Source organism: Homo sapiens, chromosome 12, assembly GCF_000001405.40.
Source record: "Homo sapiens chromosome 12, GRCh38.p14 Primary Assembly".
NCBI lineage: Eukaryota > Metazoa > Chordata > Mammalia > Primates > Hominidae > Homo > Homo sapiens.
Genome location: NC_000012.12, coordinates 64,140,889 through 64,162,424, shown reverse-complemented (window position 1 = coordinate 64,162,424; position 21,536 = coordinate 64,140,889). Strand labels below are relative to the sequence as shown.

The following is a 21,536-nucleotide window of genomic DNA, read 5'->3' as shown; positions in this document are numbered from 1 at the left end:
GGGGATTAGATTGTCATAAGGAGCGCACAACCTAGATCCCTCAATTGTGCAGTTCACAGTAGGGTTCACCCTCCCATGAGAATCAGCCTTGGCTGATCTGACAGGAGGCAGAACTCAGGCGGTAATGGTCACTTACCCCCTGCTGTGCAGCCCGGTACCTAATGGGGTAGGGGGAGGGTAATGAGCATTATTGAGGTATAATTCATATATCATACAATTTAGTACTTTATTGGATACAATTCAGTGGTTTTTAGTATATTTACAGATGTGTAGTTATCACACAATGAATTTTGGAACATTTTATCAGCCCCAAAAGAACATCCCATACTCCCATTAGCAGTCATTTCTCTCCCCAAACCCTTTTCCCAGCCCTCAGCAACTACAAATCTACTTTGTATTTTTATAGATTTGCCTATTCTGAACATTTCTTATGGATAAAATATACACAATATGTGGTTTATGACTGGCTTATTTCACGTAATAATGTTTTCAGTTTACCCATGTTGTAGCGTGTATCAGTACTCCGTTCTTTCCCATCTTCATTACAGAATAGTATTCCATTGTATCAATATACCACATTTGCTTATTCATTTGTCCCTCTGTTGATGGACATTTGCATTGCTTCTATCATTTGGCTATTATGGATAATACTGCTATGACAATCTGTTTTTTAGTGCCCTTCTTTAGTGCTTGTTTTTAAATTCGAGCAGATAGCCAAGGATCACCAGGAATTTTAGGAAAGCCTGTAACATAAACGAAAGCAAAGCAAACACAGGTCAAAAATTTAAAAAAGCAACTTAGAGGAAATACAGTGTGCAGAGAGAAGAAAACTTAGAAGAACTATCACTAATAATCTCAAAATAAAAAAATATATAGGACCTGTCAAATAAGGACAGGATTCTATAAAAAAATGAACAGCCAGCTCACAAAAAGAGCTTTTGGAAATTAAAAGCATGAGAGCAGAAATAAAGTACTTAACAGAAGAGTTAGCAGATAAAGTTGAGGATATTTCCCTGAAAATAGAGCAAAAAGTCAAATAGATGAAAAACTGGAGGAAAATTAGTAAAATTATAGGATCAGTTCATGAGGTCCAACCTCCAAATATTAGGAATTATAAGAAAACAGATGGAATGGAGGAGATAAAATAATCAAATAAATCTTCCTTGATAGATCCAAGAAGGTTTATAAACTATAGCATGTTTTTAATGCATTGAGTTTGAAAGCATTTCTGTGGAAGATTTTGAGAATGAATTAATTTTTATCTACTTATGTACATAGAAAGCTAAGCAAATGAAATAAAAGTAATTATAAGCTCCAGGGAAAAGAAGACTTTCCAGAATCAAAGTGTAAGATGGGCTGAAATGGTCTTCAGTACAATGAATCAAAATAGATCCACATCAGGATATTCTGAAATTTCAGAAACCCTGAGAAAAACATGCAATAGTAAATTATGTATAGGGAAAAAAAAGAACATACAAAGTAACAGAATTAGAATGGCTTTGGAATGTTCGGTAGCAACACTGATGCAACATCTCCAAAATCCTGAGGGGAAATGATTCATAATGCTAGAGAGAATAGAGAAATATGGGCACAATCCTTCTTGTTTGTCGATCTCTCCTTGGCTCTGCCTTTTCATGCTGTTTCTACCTCTTTCTGCCACCTCATTCTTACACTTTCCAGATAATGAGCCACTCTGAGAAAATCTTCCTCACCTACCATACTGATATTGAATGTTTAGCTTGAAGTTATCGGCCCCAGGACCCAGCCACTGGCAAACAGAGTCTGGGCTTCCTTGTGAAGACAAAGGGGTAAGGAAAATAGGAGAGTAGCCATATGCCAGTGGTACTGATTATTCATACATTAATCTTCCGACATATGAGATATATTTGCCTTTTGATTGAGAAATCTATGGTGATGGAAACTAAAGCCAAGTAAATCTAGGGCTGGGTCATTTCCACTTACACTGGGAATTACTAGGAGGACATATTTTTCCTCCTTTCCTTGACCACATTGATTTTAAGTTAACATCCTAAGTAAGATTTTATACTCAGCCAGACTATCACAATTACATGTGAGATAAAGACACTTTCTAGACATGGAATGTCTCAAAATACACTCTCAATCAGGAAGCTGATTAAGGATATACTGTGTTAAATCTAGGTCAGTCATGACTAGCTGAGATGGCTGTATGAGGTTCCAGGAAATAGTGGAACCAACTCAAGAGAAAAGTGGAGTGAGTCCCCAGAGATCTTAGGCTCTCAGCTATGCAGTAGACTTAGAGAACAACTTATCCATACTGAAACAGGTCAAATGCCTCTTTAAGTGATGGATCCAAGATTTATAAACTATAGCATGTTTCAATGCATTGAGTTTGAGAACACTTCTGTAAAAGATTTTTGAGAAGGAATTTTTACCTATTTATGTAAATAGAAAGCTAAGCAAATGAAACAAAGGTAATTATGAACTCCAGGGAAAAGAAAAAAGAAAGGAAAAGTAATTGTATGCATCAGGAAAGGCTACATTATGCTGTGGCATAACTATGCAACCTAATTCTCAATGTCAGTAGCTTGATATAACAGTAGTTTATTTCCTGCTGTTGTAGAGTCCACTCGAGTCCAAACAATTCTCCAGGATGACCATCCTCCATGCAGTGACTTAACAGTCTGTGCTTTTCTAGCATTACAGCTCTGCCATCTTAACGGGAGGCTTCTATGAGTGCCATGGCAGGGGAAGAGACTGCTTGGAAAGCTTGAATCCTCTCTCATACGTTATTGTTATTATTTTTTGAGACAGGATCTCACTCTGTCACCCAGGCTGAAGTGCAGAGGTATGATCTCAGCTCACTGCAGCGTCTACCTCCCAGGCTCAAGCGATCCTTTCACTTCAGCCTCCCAAGTAGCTGGGATCACAGTCACACACCACCACAACCAGCTACTGTTTGTTTGTTTGTTTGTTTGTTGAGATGGAGTTTCACTTTTGTTGCCCAGGTTGGAGTGCAATGGTGCAATCTTGGCTCACTGCAACCTCCGCTTCCTGGGTTAAAGCAAGTCTCCTGCCTCAGCCTCCTGAGTAGCTGGGATTACAGGCATGCGCCACCACGCCTGGCTAATTTTGTATTTTTAGTAGAGATGGGGTTTCACCATGTTGGTCAGGTTGGTCCTGAACTCCTGACCTCAAGTGATCCACCCACCTCGGCCTTCTAAAGTTCTGGGATTACAGGTGTGAACCACCGTGCCTGCCCTACAGCTAGTTTTTTAAAAAACTGTTTTGTAGGGATGGGGTCTTGCTATGTTGCCCAGGCTGGTCTTGAACTCCTAGGCTCAAGCGATCCTCCCACTTAGCCTCCCAAAGTGCTGGGATTACAGGTGCGAGCCAGTGTGCCTAGCACTCTTTTATATTTTAACCCACAAGTGACACAGATCATTTTTGCTCACAACCCACTGGCTAGATTTAGTACATAGATCCACTGAATGATGTGAATGGTGGGGCAGAGAGGGTTCTTATCATTTTTTCCTCAACCTGACCTCTGATTACTGTTTGACATGTTCCAAATGCTCCGTAAGTTGTCAAGGCACATGATATTCATGCATTTTCATTGGGATTTTTCATTTTTATTAGGTTGGTGCAAAAGTAATTGCTTTTTTTTTCTTCTTAAGATGGAGTCTCACCCTGTCACCCAGGCTGGAGTGCAGTGGTGCGATCTTGGCTCACTGCAACGTCCACCTCCCGGGTTCAAGTGATACTTCTGCCTCAGCCTCCCGAGTAGCTGGGACTACAGGTGCACGCCACCATGCCCGGCTAATTTTCGTATCATTAGTAGAGACGGGGTTTCACCATATTGGCCAGGCTGGTCTCAAACTCCTGACCTCATAATCCTAATTATTTACTAGACTTAAATGAAGTTACATTTTTATCAAAGCATAATCCAATCAATACTGATTTTAATTTAATTCTATGTCAACTAAGAGGGTAGACTTTAGCACCCGATGTGTTGGGTTTGAATCCCTGGTTTTTCTAGATGAATCTCCTTCAAAAGCAATTGGGTCTTAAACTTTTCATATACTTGAAATCACAATCCATGAAGTTGCTTTAGTATTTCATCCCTGACAAACCAGAAATGAGAAATTTTTAAGTTTTTGGAATAAAGGACAAATACAAAGCAGGAAATAGTTTTAATTTAGAAACATCTAATCCTAGATAATTTAGTAACATTGATTATAGCACAATTCTTGAGCACTAACTATGCACCAGGCAGTGTTTAATTGCTCTGGGCTCAAGCAATCCTCTTGCCTCAGCCTCCCAAATTGTGGGGATTATAGGCGTGAGCCACTGTGCCCGGCCCTGGGTTCTTTTTCTTGCATTATAGGAAGATGACATTTCCTGGCCTCCCTTGCCATGTGACTTGGACATGTACAGTAGTGATTCATGTCTCCTCCATACCAAGACAGAAAACCTCACATCATTGCAAGTGCTTTCTCTTCCTCTTCATGGTGGCCACGTACTAAGGTGGCAGCAACAAAAAAAATGGAAGGAGCCCAGAACCCTGAGTCACCTGCCCGATCCACACCAAGTTGTGATGTGAAGGAGAAATTCAGCTTGATTGTGTTACTGAGTTTGGGGGGTTGTTTGTTACAGCAGCTAGCATCAGTTATCTCTTGTGAAATCACACAGCTAACAATTGAGCCAGTATCTGACCTAGATCTATTGCCTACAGAGCCCCACATTTAACTACTATTATCTGGCCTCTTTATTGCCCCCACACACTTGAAATATAAATTTTTAAAGACATTTTATTCTTTTTTCTATCCAGAATTTATTGAATCCTGATCATTTTTTCCTTAATGTTGATTTTGTAGACTCATTTCCAGGAAGAACAATGTCAGGCAGAGAGAAGGAATTGAAAGAGTATTTTTAATAAATTTGTACATGTTAATATAATTTACTTATTTGCAATTCTCATAGCTATACGATATTCTATCCCATTTCCAGTGTGGCAGCGACAAAAAAATGGAAGGAGCCTAGAACCCTGAGTCACCTACCTGACCCACACCAGGCTATGATGTGAAGGAGAAATACAGCTTGATTGTGTTACTGAGTTTGGGGGGTTGTTTGTTACAGCAGCTAGCATCAATTACTCTCATACAGATGTGTAAACAGATACTTGCACTATAGTGTTTTAGGCCCTGCTTCAGCTCTTCCTACAGTGTCAGACATATGGTAACCCTCATGAGTTATTTGTTCAGTAAATGATGAATTTAGAGGTAGACACATCCCTTTGTTACAGTGGGGGTCTGAAGGAGTGTTGAGGGGTGGGAAAGCCACCTCACTCTATGGGAAGGCGTGTGTACTATCGCTGATCTTTCCATGTAACACCCTTTCTCCTGCCAAGAATGCCCCCTTTTTTTTTTAGAAGTGCAGCTACCATATCAAACCATCCGCTTTCTGGTCCCAAAGCATGAGCAGTGCAGGCCTAGCTGTTAAGGTCTCTCAGGTCAGATAATTTTATGCCTTATTCCCCCTATCACTTCTTCAGAGAAGGTAATCTTTCCTAGAGAAATGTGTTCTTTCGCCATTGACCCCTGGCAGTTGGTAACATTTTCACCAGCCTCCTCCTATTAAACTGCAGTGATGCAGCAGCAGCCCAAAGCCATAGAAAACATGGCAAATGTGATTTTCCATGTGTACCAACACTCATTGCTGAGCCCACTTTCCTTGAGGCCCTAACCGTGCACGTTCAGATAGATGGCTTATTATTCCCTGTTGTACTCGGTGTAATAAGGCTAGATTAATAGATTTAACTTCTATAAATATTCATTTATTTTATCATTTCCTTTTAGCTTTGCCTCTAACAAAACCCCTAATCTTGGGGTCAGGGCACCTAGAAACGTGCTCATACCCTTTCATCCTGTAGATGAGTACCCTTGGGTATCCATCACAAGGAATAGGATGATAGAAAATGAGTAACATATGCAGAGATTCAGAGTATTTGCTACTAAAAGAGCAAAAACACTGGAAATGGGATAGAATATCATATAGCTATGAAAATTGCAAATAAGTAAATCATATTAACATCTACAAATTTATTAAAAATATTCATTCAATTCCTTCTCTCCACCTGACATTGTTCTTCCTGCAAATGAGTCTACAAAATCAACATTAAGGAAAAAATAATCAGGATTCAATAAATTCTGATGAAGACAAAAAAGAATAAAATGTCTTTAAAAATTTATATTTCAAGTGTGTGGAGCAATAAGGAGGCAAGATAACAGTAGTTAAACGTGCGGCTCTGTAGGCAATAGATCTAGGTCCAGATACTGGCTCAATTGTTAGCTGTGTGATTTTACAAGAGATAATTTCTTTAAACCTCAGCTTTTGTTTGTTTGTTTTAATCTGAAAAATGGGGATAATAATGATTCCGGTCTTACAGGACTAAATCCGATAATATGAAAGCAGTTAGCACAGTGCTTGGCACATAGAAAATATTTAACTCAGCCAGGCGTGGTGGCTCATGCCTGTAATGCCAACAGTTTGGGAGACCGAGGCGGGTGGATCACCTGAGGTCAGGAGTTCAAGACCAGCCTGGCCAACATGGCGAAACCCCGGCTGTACTAAAAATACAAAAAAATTAGCTGGGTGTGGTTGTGCGCACTTGTAGTCCCAGCTGCTCTGGAGGCTGAGGCAGGAGAATCGCTTGAAACCGGGAGGCAGAGGTTGCGGTGAGCCGAGGTCGTGGTGAGCCGAGGTCGCGCCACTGCACTCCAGCCTGGGAGACGGAGCGGGACTACGTCTCAAAAAAAACAAAGCAAACAAACAAACATAAAAAATATTTAACAAGCCTGAACTTGTTTATTTTTTAATATATTTATTTATTTATTTATTTTGAGACGGAGTCCCACTCTATCACCCAAGCTGGAGTGCCGTGGCGTGACCTTGGCTCACTGCAACCTCCACCTCCCTGGTTCAAGCAATTCTCCTGCCTCAGCCTCCCGAACAGCTGGGACTATAGGCGGGCGCCACCACACCCGGCTAATTTTTTTGTATTTTTAGTAGAGATGGGGTTTCGCCATGTTGGCCAGGCTGGTCTCAAACTCCTGACCTCAGGTGATCCGCCTGTCTCGGCCTCCCAAAGTGCTGGCATTACAGGCGTGAGCCACCGTGCCCGGCCTTAACAAGCAACATGGTGAAACCCCGTCTCTACAAAAAAATACAAAAACTAGCTGGGCATGGTTGCATGCACCTGTAATCCCTCGTACTTGGGAGGCTGAGGTGGGAGGATCACTTGAGCCTGGGAGGCAGAGGTTGCGGTGAGCCAAGATCATGCCACTGCACTCCAGCCTGGGTGACAGAGTGAGACTCTGTCTCAAAAAAAAGAAAAAGAAAAAGAAAAAAATATATATATTTAACAAATGTTAACTATTTTTATTATCATATTTATGTTAACAAATGCACACTAGAAATGGCAATCATTTCTTCCCTGGGTACTGATCACATTACATGCTCCTCCTGGTTTTCCTCCTCCGCCCTGGCTGCTCCTTCTGTCTCCTCTGCCAGCTCCTCACTCCACCCAAGCTCTCCCAAGCTGGGCTTCCCAGGGCTTGGTTATGTGCTCTGTACCTTCCTTTCTCTTTCTCTTTCCGGGAGTCCCATAGCTTTAAATATCAAATTTACACCTTCTGGCCAGAAATCCTCCCCTGAGCTTCAAGTCCATCTGCCTCCTAGACTTCTCCACTTGGAAGTCTAATACCTATCTTAAATTAAATAAATTCAAACGTGAATACTTGGTTGTACATCCTGGCCAACTTCTTCCTTTCCCCAGTCATTCTTTTTAAGTATATATCAATATATTCCACCCATTTGCTCAAACAAATACTAGGAGCCACTCTTGATTCTTTTCTTTCTTTATTCCCATATTTAATTTATTAGCAAATCTTGATTTTGACTCTGAAACGAACCCCCGGTTCATCCCTTCCTCTCCTTCTACCTGGCTATCTAGTCCAAGCCACCCTCATCTCCTGTGTTGCTCCTTAATTGTGGTCTCTCACTTCCCTCATGCCATTCCTTCCCAAGCTCCTCCCCACCCGTGGACCCCAAACACAACTACAACATCTACAGTGATGTTTAAAATTGTGGTTAAAAAATTACATAGTATAAAATTTACTATCTTAACCATGTTTAATATGATGTTATCTGCATGCATATTGTTGGACAACAGATCTTTAGAACTTTTTATCTTGCAAAACTGAAACCCTGTAAACACTGAACAACAATTTCCATTTTCTTCCTCATCCCGATCCCTGGCAATCACCATTCTGCTTTCTGTTTATAAGAGTTTGACTACTTTAGATATCTCATAGAAGTAAAATCATGCAATGTTTGTCCTTTATTGATTGGCTCATTTCACTTAGCTTAGTATCCTTAAGTTTCATCCATATTGTGGCATATGACAGGAATTCCTTCTTTTTTAAGGCTGCATAATATTCTATTTTATGTGTATGGCACATTTTCTTTACCCATTCATCCATTCATGGGTTGCTTCTCTCTTGTGGCTATTGTGAATTAAGCTGCGTGAACATGAGTGTGCAAATATCTCTTCTGTTTTCAATTCTTTTGGATATGTACCCAGAAGTGGGCTTGGTGGATCATATGAGGGTTTTATTTTTAATTTTTTGAGGAACTTCCACACTGTTTTCCTTAGTGGCTCTACCATTTTACATTCCCACCAACAGTGCACAAGGGTGTCAGTTTCTCTACACCCTGGCCAATACTTGTTATTTTCTGGAGTTTGATCATTTGAGAGTGGCCATCCTAATGGGTATGAGGTGATATCTCATTGTGGTTTTGAGGGTCATCTTCTAAAAATATAGATGCTGTCATGTTCCTTTTTGGAAACTTCCAATGGCTTTCCTTGAACTTAGAATGACATCTAAGTACCTTACTTTTTTTTTTTTTTTTGAGATGGAGTCTCACTGTGCCGCCCAGGCTGTAGTGCAGTGGCACAATCTCGGGTCACTGCAACCTCCGTCTCATGGGTTCAAGCAATTCCCCTGCTTCAGCCTCCCGAGTAGGTGGGATTACAGTTGTGCACCACCAAGCCCGGCTAATTTTAAGTACCTTACTTTGGCCTCCAAAATCTGATCTCTGTCCACATTCTGGCCTTTATTTTCATCTCCAGGGCTTCTTGCTTATGGTGGTACAGTCACAGTGAATGTGTTTGACTCTTTAACCACGTGAGCATGGTCCTGTTTTCCCATGTGCAGTTCCTTCTGCTTGGGTCTTTCTCTTCCTTTTCACATGGCTGGTTCCTTCTCATTATTCAGGTCTTAGCTCAAATGCTACCACATCCAAGGTGGCATTCAAGCTGTCCCATCTAAAATGCTTCTCCTAGACACTCTAAATTCTATCACCCTGTTTATTTCACTTTTGCTTTTTGTAGCAGTTATCAACACCTGAAATTATTTTGCCGGTTTAGCTGTTGGCTTATGTAGTGGTTTTTTTTTTTTTTTTTTTTTTTTTAAATCATACCAGGAAGTACACTCCATGAGACCAGGAGCCCTGTGTGTCTCATTCACAGCTAGATCCCCGGAAGGGAGCCTGATTTAATGAAAACAAAATGTAACAGAACAATTAATGCCAGCTGGGAGGTTTGGGGAACCCTTCATGAAGGATGTAACCATTTTGTTGGGTTTGGAATGATGAATATAATTTCAACAGGCAGTTGTCAGGATGAAGTAGGGGACATTTTAGGCTGAGGAATGACATGAAGTATATGCGGAGGGAGCACACAGCATCACATTTTCAAAGAAAGGTAGCTTGCTATGGCTGAAACTAAAGGTTCCGAAGAGGAGGTGGTGAGCAGGAAGGCTGAAATGGCAGGCTGAGGTCAAAGCGGCAGACATTGAATTCATTTCAGTTCCGCCGATTTGCTATTTAGTTAGTGATGCATTAGGCTTGAAGATACAAAGATGAATAAGACACAGTAGTATGCCGTCCTGCAGCAGTGGGGACCCACGTGTGGCTTTTGAGCAGGGTAATGACATGAGCATGTTACAGAGGTCAGAATGCAGCAGTGGTTATGAGCATAGCCTCCAGCACCAGATGGCGTGGAATCAAATCCTGCTCTGTCACTATCTAGCTGTGTGACCAGGGCAAGTGTTTAACTCCTGCGGCTTAATTTTCTTACGGATAAAGATGATGATAATAACTGTGGCTCTCTTGGCTTTCTTATGAGGGTTAACATTTGTAGCATGGAGTCTGGTACTCAATACATGTTGGCTATTGACATGCAACGTGTTGAGGAAAACGATGTCAGTACATGGTACATTTTCAATGATTGTTTGTTAGGTTTCTCATTTTGTTTTTGAGAAAGATGATTTATTGGCAGCAGTGTAGATAATCATTTCAAGGAGGAGACAGTGGGCACAGCCACACCACCGTGGAAGCTACGGCAATCGTTGTGGCAAGGGGAATGGTGCACAGAATTAGCTTAGAGCAGAGATAGGCAGCGGAACAGATTGGAGGATGTAGAGGGGCTGCAGAATATTTTTTGGAATGAAACAAAGTGGGTTTAATTTTTGGGTCTGTTGAGCTTAAGGTGCCTGAGGAAAATCTCTGTTTGCTGATGTTTAGCTGAAACAATAAAGAGTCATCTGAAGTTTAGGACACAGAGGTGAGTGAAATAGAGATTTGTACTCTGGAAATGTGGGTGTGCACATTAACAAACTGCTAAGAATTTGCATTGAGCCTATCACTCACCTAGTACACTGGTAAAGAAACATGACCATGTTTTATACTCGTGTACTGTTATGCATTACTGGCAGGGATGTAAATTTGTACAACTTTGCTGGAAAACAGGTCGGCAATATTTGTCATGAGCCTTACAGATAATTGCATCCTCTGACCCAGTGATTTCACTTTTTGGAGTCAATGCTAACTTTATGATCCAAACACAGACAATTAATTATTATATACAGAGCTGCTCACCACAACATAACATTCAATTGAAAAAAAAACAAAACCTTCAAACAGGCTCACTCAGTGACAGGAAAATGGTTAAATAATGATGTGTTCATACGCTAGAATATTATACAGCCATTAAAAAATCATGTTGACTGAGACTCCTAGTGTGAATTGCTATAAGGGAGAAAAACCCAATGTATATACAATTATATACAGAATATGAGTTTGACTCTGCTTAAAAATAACATAATGTAAGGATTAGAAGACAATATACTAAGATGTTCATATTATTATTTCTGTTTGGGAAATGGAGGCATGGGTTGGTATTTGTTGAAGTCTAGTAACTGAGTTTGACTTATGACTATATAATAGATTTTTGGCTTACTTAAAATTTCTTTTCCTTCTTTTCCTAATGCATCTCGTAATATTTAGTTACTAACACAGTAACAATCTTTGGGCTTACAGACCAAAATTCAAATGGCAATTTCTATTACAAATCTTGACCATGTTTTTTTTTTTTTTTTTTTTTTTTTTGAGATAGCTTCTCACTCTTCCACCCAGGTTGGAGTGCAGTGGTGCAATCATAGCTTATTGCAGCCTCAAACATCTGGGCTCAAGCAATCTTCCTGCCTCAGCCTCCCAAGTACCTAGTACTATAGGCATGTACTACTATGTCTGGCTAATTTTTGTATTTTTTTTTTTTTTGGTAGAGATGGGATCTCACAAAAAAATATAAAAATTCGCATTTTTTGATCCTCCTGCCTTGGCCTCTCAAAGTGCTGGGATTACAGGCATGAGACACCACTTTTTGTTTTTAATAGATGCAGTCCATCAAAGGCCCAGAACCTCAAACTTCATTTTTGAGTTAATGTCATGTCATTGTACAATTTTGAATGTGCCACTGGACCACTGAAGATGTTTCCTTCTCTCCTGGCTTATTGGCACAATCATCCACTTGCATTTAGAGGGACATGATTTTTACACAAGGGGTTCCTTGGGTATGTCAGAGACAGAAGATTAGAACAATACACCATCATTGAGAGGGTAATTCATCAAAAGTCCTAACTTCAGCTGCACAGCCAAGCAGCTAAAAGAAACCCAGTGACCCTCGGAAGCACCCCTGATAGACAGCTGTTGGGTGTGAAGGATCCATCCATAAGTCGCCAGAATTGGATCGCAAATATCCTAGAGCTGACGATCTCCTGGATCATGCTGCCATAACTGCCTTCAAGATGTTAATACTGAACAAGGCATGTTGTTTCAGCACTGCGGGAGGAGCAATCTCTCTTCCCAACCCCTCCGCACCCTCCCACCCACACACGTGCACATGCACACAAGCACATGTGTTGATATCCAGCCCAGTCCCATTTCTCTTGCTGAGACTGACCTTGATAGAAAAACTATTTTGTTTTTATTATAGAAGGCAAGTTTTCTATTTACTATGTAGAAACAGATAAAAGGCTACTGAAGAGGTGATGAACCTCACCGTGATTATTAAGTGAGCAAAAATATTTATACTAAAGTTTAAATACTTATTTGCTTATACTATAGTATAAGTAAGCCAAAAATTGATTATCTGGTCCTAATTAATTCAAATTCGTTTACTAAACTTCAATAAATTACCAACCCATGCCTCAGTTTCCCAATATTTTCCAGGGCTATATGGCCTGTGGATAGAATTTACCATCATTCTGTGCTTTTAGGACCTTTTTGACATTCTAGGTCAAACTTGGGGAATTTTCCTTTTTAGGAGTCCCAACTACTCAAGGCAGAAGCCAGCAAACACCCTTGCTCTGCCTTTCTAAGATTCTTACAGGGTGCAGGCATATGAACTGTGGGAACTGACGACCAGTTACACCCCGTTGGGACTCTGGTTCGGGAGTGAGAGATGGGGAGGCAGGCGCAATTTTCTCAACAGGAGATGGTCGTGGCAGGCTGAGGAGCTTAAGATTTGAGGGTAGCAGGATGGTGGAGTCTTTCCTGGAACAACTCTACAGACTGATTTGGGCATTTGTTCCTGGTGGGCTAGCCTCTAAATCCAACTCTGTGGTCCTAAAGTAGGCATTGAAGAAAAAGCATCCAGCATCGGGTAAGAGAACATGACTTGATAAGCATCAAGTAAAGCTTCAACTAGTTTCAGTGTCATCTATGAATATTTCCAGTCTCCATATCAGACAGTGCTTTTTTGGAAAGAAAGAAAAGTATCCTTGCCTTTGAGTAGGCCTTCCGGTCAACAGGTTAGTTCAACATTATTCCGTCATAGTTTGGGAAAACAATTCCTTTGACAGGTGGGTCCCTCACCCCCCATTCATTTCTCCATGTTTAAAGATATCTGCATATACTACCCAAAGTTTAATCAGGAAATACTAAAATAAATATAATATTGAGCATATTCATGTAATGGAATTCTATATAGCAGTAAAAATGGAAAAACCACTATTTTACTAACAATGACGACTCTTACAAACATACATTTCAACAAAAGGAGCCAGACACAAAATCTACATACTGTATGAACCCATTTATAGAAAGCTAAGATGACAGGCAAAACTACACCATGGTGTGATTAGTCAGGATACTGATACATTCACAGAGGCATGAGCACAGTAGCTTCTGGGATGCTGATAATGTGCTATTGCTTAAACTGGGTGGTGGATACATCAGTGTGTCAGCTCGTGAGAACTGTTACACTAATGATTTGCACACTTTTGTTAGTATTCTGCACTTTAATAAAAAGTGTTTTTCCTTGATTTGCCTGTCATTTTTTAAACTTTATATCTTATCAATATTCAATCTTGCACAACTTACATTGTTTTACAAAGCTATCTACTACATATTGCTAGACCTCAAGTTATCTTTTTTTTATATTTAAAGAAAAATACCTGGCCAGATGCAATGGCTCACACCTGTAATCCCAGCACTTGGGAGGCTGAGGCAGGTAGATAGATCACTTTAGGTCAGGAGTTTGAGACCAGCCTGGCCAACATGGTGAAACCCCGTTTCCACTAAAAATACGAAAAGTAGCTGGGTGTGGTGGCGGGTGCCTGTAATTACAGCTACTTAGGAGGCTGAGGCAGGAGAATCGCTTGAATCCAGGAGGGGGAGGTTGCAGTGAGCTGAGATTGCACCACTGCACTACAGCCTGGGTGACACAGAGAGATTCGTCTCAAAAAAAAAAAAAAAAAAGTAAAGAAAAATACCAATACACGGGGAGTTCTAAGCACAGAAAAATAACCTAAGGATTATTTTTCAATTTATTCAAATGAAACCAAAGATGGGCTTGCCGTGGTTAACTAGAGTCTTTCTCAAAAGAAAGATTTCAATCTGGTGTATGTTTAGGAGGCTTGTACACTCTCAGCTTCTCAGTTAAGTGTCTGCCAAGACTCTTTTCTCTGACTACACATTGAGCCTCCAAACCATGACTGAAAAACCACAGCTTCATGGGCAGGGCCCTGTGCAGGACACCCTATTTCCAAATGAACAAGAAATGAAAGTGAGATAAAAAAATATTTTAAAGGTAAAAGTTTCACATTATTTAATGCAAGCTAGCTGTCAAGGAGAAAGTAGTGATGAATGAAAGGAAAGGAACAAAGACACCACAGAGATGCACATCAAACTGGAAGCAGACAAAGGCAGCCAGAACTATCTTATTTATTATAAAGATACACCGTGAAGAACAAACCTGACTGTATACTGAAGCCTGTAATGGTACATGCCAAAAATGTACAGTACTATACATAAAAGTGCATTGTCACAACAGATTAACAAAACATTTTTTTTCTTTCCAGACTGTAAAAGCATCCCCCTTTATTTTCACCTCAGAGAGGAGGGAATGAAATGGTGAGAGGCAGTACAGAGCACGGGCGAATGCGATGCTGTCAGCAGCACATGAGCGGGGGACTGATGCGGTGGGATGGGAGGACACAGGGGTGAGAAAGGCACAATCACGTCTACAAGGAAAACGAGACAGTCTGAGGACCGACAGGGAGGTGAGATGGGACATTACTGAGCACCGAGGCACAGGAAGGCGGGGATGGGGAAGGTGGGGGACAGGGAGGAAGCTTCGAAACACTCGAGTGGGCAGCAGGAATTGGGAGGAGGAGGTGGGGGTGGGGCACAGAGCGGGGCAACGGTACAAGAGCAAGGCTAAAACTCCTCTAAAATAGAAAGGCACTTTCACATGTACATACTACAGATGTACATTGACACAATTAGGTAACAGTCACAAGCAGGAAGCTACCGGTACCGCAATTGATCAAACCGACAGGAAAGGACAATACTGATTTAATTACGCGGGCAGCAGTTACCCTTCAGTACGTAGGTAAACAGCAGTCTCTCCTGTTACACAGCCACTTACTATACTTTAAATATCTATAATAACCATCACACTACACACTGAACTTGGATGAATGCTCTAAGGGGGGCATTCACAAATGCACGGTTCATATATTTTCTTTTACTAAAGTTTCTAAGATAAGCATTATGGAACCCAGTACAATTATTTAAACATACAAAATTCCCTACGTAATTTAAAGACACAGGTATCCATCTCGATTATACCACATAGACTTTTTTTTTTTTTTAAGAACGTATACTAGGGTAAGTGAAAGCTCAAATTCCAGTTTGCTTTATGGATCTGACAAAACTTCGCCAAAGTCACCCTGCACCAAGCCTGACTCTCCAGCCCAGCTGGAGCTTGTGTTCTCAACTTGGGAGGTGGGTGGCAGGTGGTCTGGAGTAGGGAGCTCTATTTACGCCTGGGTAGAGACTTCTAAGCTGCTCTGTGTCTCAGGGTTTCTGTGGTGGATAATCGAAAACAAGACTGAGTCCTAAGCACATTTCCTGCACAAAAAATGGCCTCTCACTGCTATGGTCAGGAATCAATGAGCATCATCCCAAATTTGAATCCTCTAACCCCCGCCTCAAGAGACACATAGGCTCTTTAACTTTGGATTTCCAAGGCTGATCAGATGAAAGTTTCTTCAGTTTGTAGACTCCAGAGGCTATGTCATTCCTAAATGTTAAGGACACAACTACCAACCCACGCCTCTTTTCCTTTTCTTTAAATTATAAACCCCCCCTTTTTTTGGTCGCGGGGGGGATAGCAAAAGTTAGAAAACCCTTAACGGATACAATTTGACTCTTGGAGCACTATATCCACTGATAACTGTTCACGATCATTGCAGTAGATTGTGGGACCCTGCTATAAATTATTCTACAGGTGGCTCAAGGGGCACCAAAGCCAGATTATGTTGTACGAAGATGTGCAAAGCTGTTGAATGGTGTTGACACTGAACGTGAACATGGAGCTCTACAAAGCGCCACTCAGCAGGTTCAAACAGTTCACGTAACGCCCATTAGAAAATGTGTACTAAGTACACCTTTCTCTCTATCCCCAAATCCACTCCCCAAACCCCAACCCAGTCCAAAAGGCTGACTTGATGAATCTCCTTCAGTGAGTTCTATGGATGGGATGTGAACACACAGTTATATCAGCTGAGAATACATATTCTTGTGTCAGTGGAGTCAGGTAATCTTTGTAGAGCCATTATTTACCCACCATCAAAAAGCTCCCCTCCCCAAATTGCACATGAAGCCTGATAAGCTCCTTGAAATTGGGGGCAGAACACCTCAAGGCCTCATTATCCTTCTTCTCTCGTTTCCCTGTGTCTTCCCACCTCCCCTGTGTGCTGCCTCTGTGGCTATAAAGAAGGGCTGTGAACCTTCTCAGCTGCAGTGGCTTTTAATGAGCTTTACTGAGCATGATTCTGGATTCTTTGTGAAGTGGCCACCTTGTCTTATCTCTGGAATCTGAAGACATTTAATAAACCAAGTAAGGAGAGGTGAGTCTTTACTGAGTCCTCACTCACTCTGAGGTCATACCCTTCATTTGGAATTGAAAAAAAAAAAAAGTCTCAAGCTGACAATAGGAGTATAGGGAAATAAGATGGAGACAGGTAAAGTGAGTGATGGGAGAGTATTAGGAGCTGTTTCCTGAAACAAGGCACAGCCTGTGAGGCTCTGCAGCAGCACGACTCCTGCCGGCCAAGACAGCAAAGTCCTGATGGGGAGCACAGAAAGGCAATCCTCGTTCCACCGTAGGTGGACACATCAGAGAGAGGAGCCGCTGGGGAGGATGACCAGATAGAAGGCTGAATAAATGAACAGGTAGGAGGAAGATCTGAAAAGCTAAGGCTGAAGCTCAGAAAAGACATTGAAAAAAAATAAATTCAAAGACACCTCTGGCCCTTTGATGCCCTCTGTTAACATCTTACTCTTCCATCAAACAAGGAATATGGTTTTTAAGAATTCTTACTATTTTAAAGAAGTGGTGGAATGGCCGGGCATGGTGGCTCACATCTGTAATCCCAGCACTTTGGGAGGCTGAGGCTGGTGGGTCACCTGAGGTCAGGAGTTTGAGACCAGCCTGGCCAACATGGTGACACCCCATCTCTACTAAAAATACAAAAATTAGCTGGGCGTGGTGGTGGCGCCTGTAATCCCAGCTACTCAGGAGAATTGCTTGAACCCGGGAGATGGAGGTTGCAGGGAGCCGAGATTGCACCACTGTACTCTGGCCTGGGCGACAGAGCAAGACTCCAACTCAAAAAAAAAAAAAAAAAAAAAAAAAAGTGGGGGATTATTTTGGAAAGTTTAAATTCCTAAGGAATTTGTGAGGATTGTTTAAAAGGGCTAGTGCTATTCAAAGCTCAGTCTTGGCTGGATCTCCACGGTGTCCAAGGGTGCTGAAGGACCCCAAAAGCTCAGGAGAAATGGGGAGGGGCTAGACAAGGTGCTGTCCTGGGCTTCTTTTTCAAAATGGGCAAAAAGTATGGCTCTGAAAATTTGGAGGTTTAAAAGTTTACCATACCTAGAAATACATGGGAAAAAAGTCACTATTCATTTGTGAAATTAGGCCCCAGGCAAGCAATCAGCAGTGTGACTCTGAAAGTAACAATATCTCATCAATTTAATCTCTTCCTGCAATAGAATGACTACACTGGCAAACTGAGGTAGAGATCAAAGTAATGATCTTGATTTTAGTACAGATCCCAGTTCTTTTCTGCACGATGCATTCACCAATGGGCTGATGAAGTAAAATCTACACTGTGTAGCTCTTAGATGGGCGTGCAATTGGCTGCCAGTTTGAAATGAAACCAAGAAGGAAATTAATGGTGGGCCAGAGGGATTAGTTGTGGGAAATCCATTTCTCCCAACAACAACAACAACAACAAAAATCTTTATCAGTAACTTCAATGATAGAATAGATAAAATGCTCATAGGTCTACAGGTGATATCAGCTGCTGCTAGTAGGAGAATGGAAATCAAAGCAAATTTTCTTAAGATGGGGGAAAATGTAGCATAAATATAGGCTTAAAAAATTGCCTGTGTGCTAGGATGCCAGAGAAAGAGGGTCTCCAATTGAGAGTTCAGCTGACTATGGGAGTTACATAGAGCCCACATACAAAACCAAAACCAAAAAGGGGAAAAGGGACAAAGAAAAAGAAGTTGTGGTTGTGAGGTACACAACTGGGTGAGAACCACAAGGCCATGTTCTGCTGATGGCCCTGCATGGCTCTTACTCAGGTACCAGGGCCAGTTCAGGGTTGGCTCAAAGACAAATGGAGAGGACAGTTGGGATTTCAAATTTAGGATCATCAGGACTTTGTAGCATTTTTTTTTTTTTTAAGAGACAGGGTCTCACACTATGCTGCCCAGGCTGGACTCGAACTACTAGGCCCAAAGCCATCCTCCTGTGTAAACCACCCGAGTAGCTGGGAGTACAGGTGTGCACCACCATGCCTGGGCTTTGTAGCATGTTTAAAGGAACCTAGGTGATTTAGTCAAAAGAGAACACTGCATGAACCAAGGCCTCAGGTGCTTCTTGCTGCCTTCATTTCCACAGAGGAGAACACAGGGATTTAGAGGAGATGGAAACATTTTCTAGGCAGTTATTGAATAACGGATCTTTGGAGGAGTTCGTGGAGTAGTGTAACCAGAAAGTCTTTAAAATTAAACCCTTCTAATCGTTTGTAAGTGTAGATGGGGGGACTTGGAAATCTCCGGGGCCTAATCATGCTCGCAAAAGGAGTGACATTAATAGCTTTGGAGATGGTGTCTTCCTCTCCTTTCCCAGGTTAAGTTCAAGCAGTAACAGCAGAGGTTCTACCTCCTTCCATCGAGTCTTTAAGCTGGACCCGGGGAAATAACTGTTAGGAAAGAGGCAAGCATCCAACCCACTCGAGCTGTGGGCTGACAGTCCCACTGGGATCGTCCCATGGAGACAATTGCAAGTCTTTTGCATGAGCTAAACCCCGCTCCACATGGAACCGAAGGTGCTCATTGTCAGCTACCACGCAATGCCATTATCACCTTTCAGCCCAAGTGCCACAGACCAACACTGGCTATACTCCAATGAGGTGTGGCATTCGGGTTCTTCTGCCTTCAGGTCACAACCTTTCTGACTCAGCTGGGCTACATTAAACCTGAAGCTCTGTACAATGTGGAGAGCGGTGTTGCCTTCATTACAAGTGGTGCAGCATTGGATTTTCAAGTAAGTCTAAGTGTTTCTATTGTCCTTAAAATGACATATGTCCAGTTATTTAAAAAAATTACAAAATACAAATGCCCGTGTTAATTTAGCTAGTCTCAGACATTACATTCGACAACATAGAAAAGCCAAAAGATCTCCAGTTATAAGCACAAAACTAAGGAAAGTTATGGATCAGTGACTTTTGTCACTAATCCATTTTCTTTTTTAAGTCACCTCCCTTTATGGCCTTGCTTGGCTGGTTTTTACATTGTGCATGACTTGTCTGTTGGACCCTGGGGAGGTGGGGCAGGTCCTATGGTAGGATTTGTTTTTGGAAGAACAGCAGGTTTTGGCCTAAGGGCTGGAGGCTTCAGCTGCACGCCCATTCTGGGTGCCACCATAGGCTTGAAAGTACTCATTGTGTCACTGGAGGAGCTCGTGCTACGTCGAATCTGAGGCTCGGAGCTCCTGAGGGCAACGTTGTGCAAAGGGCTGAGAGATTCCGTGGAAGTGGCAGGGGTGGGAGAGTTTTTCACTTGCTCCAGGGTATCCAGCACCACATCAGGGGCATGCTTTGCTGTGCTCTGTCTCTCCAGTTCTCGGAGTTCATTCAAAGCTGTGTTCATCGTTTCTTCAATATCCTATTGAAGAATAATCGGAAAGAGAGAAAGCACAGACTGATAATGAATACTAATGTATAGAAACCCAGACACTTAATTTCAAAGTAAACGGCCCAGCAGAGTATGGATATCTTTGACTCCATAGTCTGCAGAATATGTAAACATTATGCCATCTCACACAATCATCATTTTGATTCTTGATTCAGGAAACTGAGATATAATGGCTCATGGAGCCATGTATCAAACAATGGCCTTCCTAAGGCCCTAAGGTAGCCTTCTAATGGTCTCTGCCTTGCATGCTGACTTAAAAAAAAATTTTTTTCTTTTGAGGCAGGGTCTCACTCTGTTAGCCAGGCAGAGTGCAGTGGTGTGAATCAGCTCACTACGGCCTCGACCTCCTGGCCTCATATGATCCTCCTACCTCCTGAGTAGCTGGGACCACAGGTATGTGCTACCTCCTGAGTAGCCTCCTGAGTAGCTGGGACCACAGGTGTGTGCTACCACAGCTGGCTAATATTTACATTTTTTGTAGAGATGGGGTCTTGCTAGTTGCCCAGGTTGGTCTTGAACTCCTGGGCTCAAGTAAGCCTCCTGCCTCTGCCTCCTAAAGTGCTGGGATTATAGGTGTAGGCCACCACATCTACATGCTGACTTATTAATATAGAATTCTATTTCAACTTATGATAAAAGTTTATGAAAACTTTTGAAAAAAAGATTTTCAACTTTTTCCCCCCCCAAGATGCAGTCTTGCTCTGTCACCCAGGCTGGAGTGCAGTGACATGATCTCGGCTCACTGCAACCTCTGCCTCCCGGGTTCAAACAATTCTCCTGCCTCAGCCTCCCAAGTAGCTGGGATTACAGGCGCCCACCACCACGCCCGGCTAATTTTTGTATTTTTACTAGAGACGGGGTTTCACCATGTTGGCCAGGCTGGTCTCGAACTCCTGACCTCATGATCCGCCTGCCTTGGCCTCCCAAAGTGCTGGGATTACAGGCATGAGCCACCGTGCCGGGCCAAGTTTTTCTTTTTTTTTTTTTTTTTTATTATACTTTAAGTTTTAGGGTACATGTGCACATTGTGCAGGTTAGTTACATATGTATACATGTGCCATGCTGGTGCACTGCACCCACTAACTCATCATCTAGCATTAGGTATATCTCCCGATGCTATCCCTCCCCTCTCCACCCACCCCACAACAGTCCCCAGAGTGTGATATTCCCCTTCCTGTGTCCATGTGATCTCATTGTTCAATTCCCACCTATGAGTGAGAATATGCGGTGTTTGGTTTTTTGTTCTTGCGATAGTTTACTGAGAATGATGATTTCCAATTTCATCCATGTCCCTACAAAGGACATGAACTCATCATTTTTTATGGCTGCATAGTATTCCATGGTGTATATGTGCCACATTTTCTTAATCCAGTCTA

The 21,536-nt window shown here is 41.9% G+C and overlaps 1 protein-coding gene across 2 annotated transcripts in view; it reads right to left on the bottom strand.

Moving 5' to 3' along the window:
* Nucleotides 208-21,536, bottom strand: part of SRGAP1 (SLIT-ROBO Rho GTPase activating protein 1) — a 317,518-nt gene continuing 296,189 nt past the window's right edge. For both annotated transcript variants that reach the window (NM_020762.4, NM_001346201.2), the window contains exon 22: nt 208-20,130. In NM_020762.4, coding sequence (NP_065813.1) covers nt 19,753-20,130 — 378 coding nt within the window. In that variant the 3' untranslated portion in view covers nt 208-19,752. The remainder of the gene's footprint in view (nt 20,131-21,536) is intronic.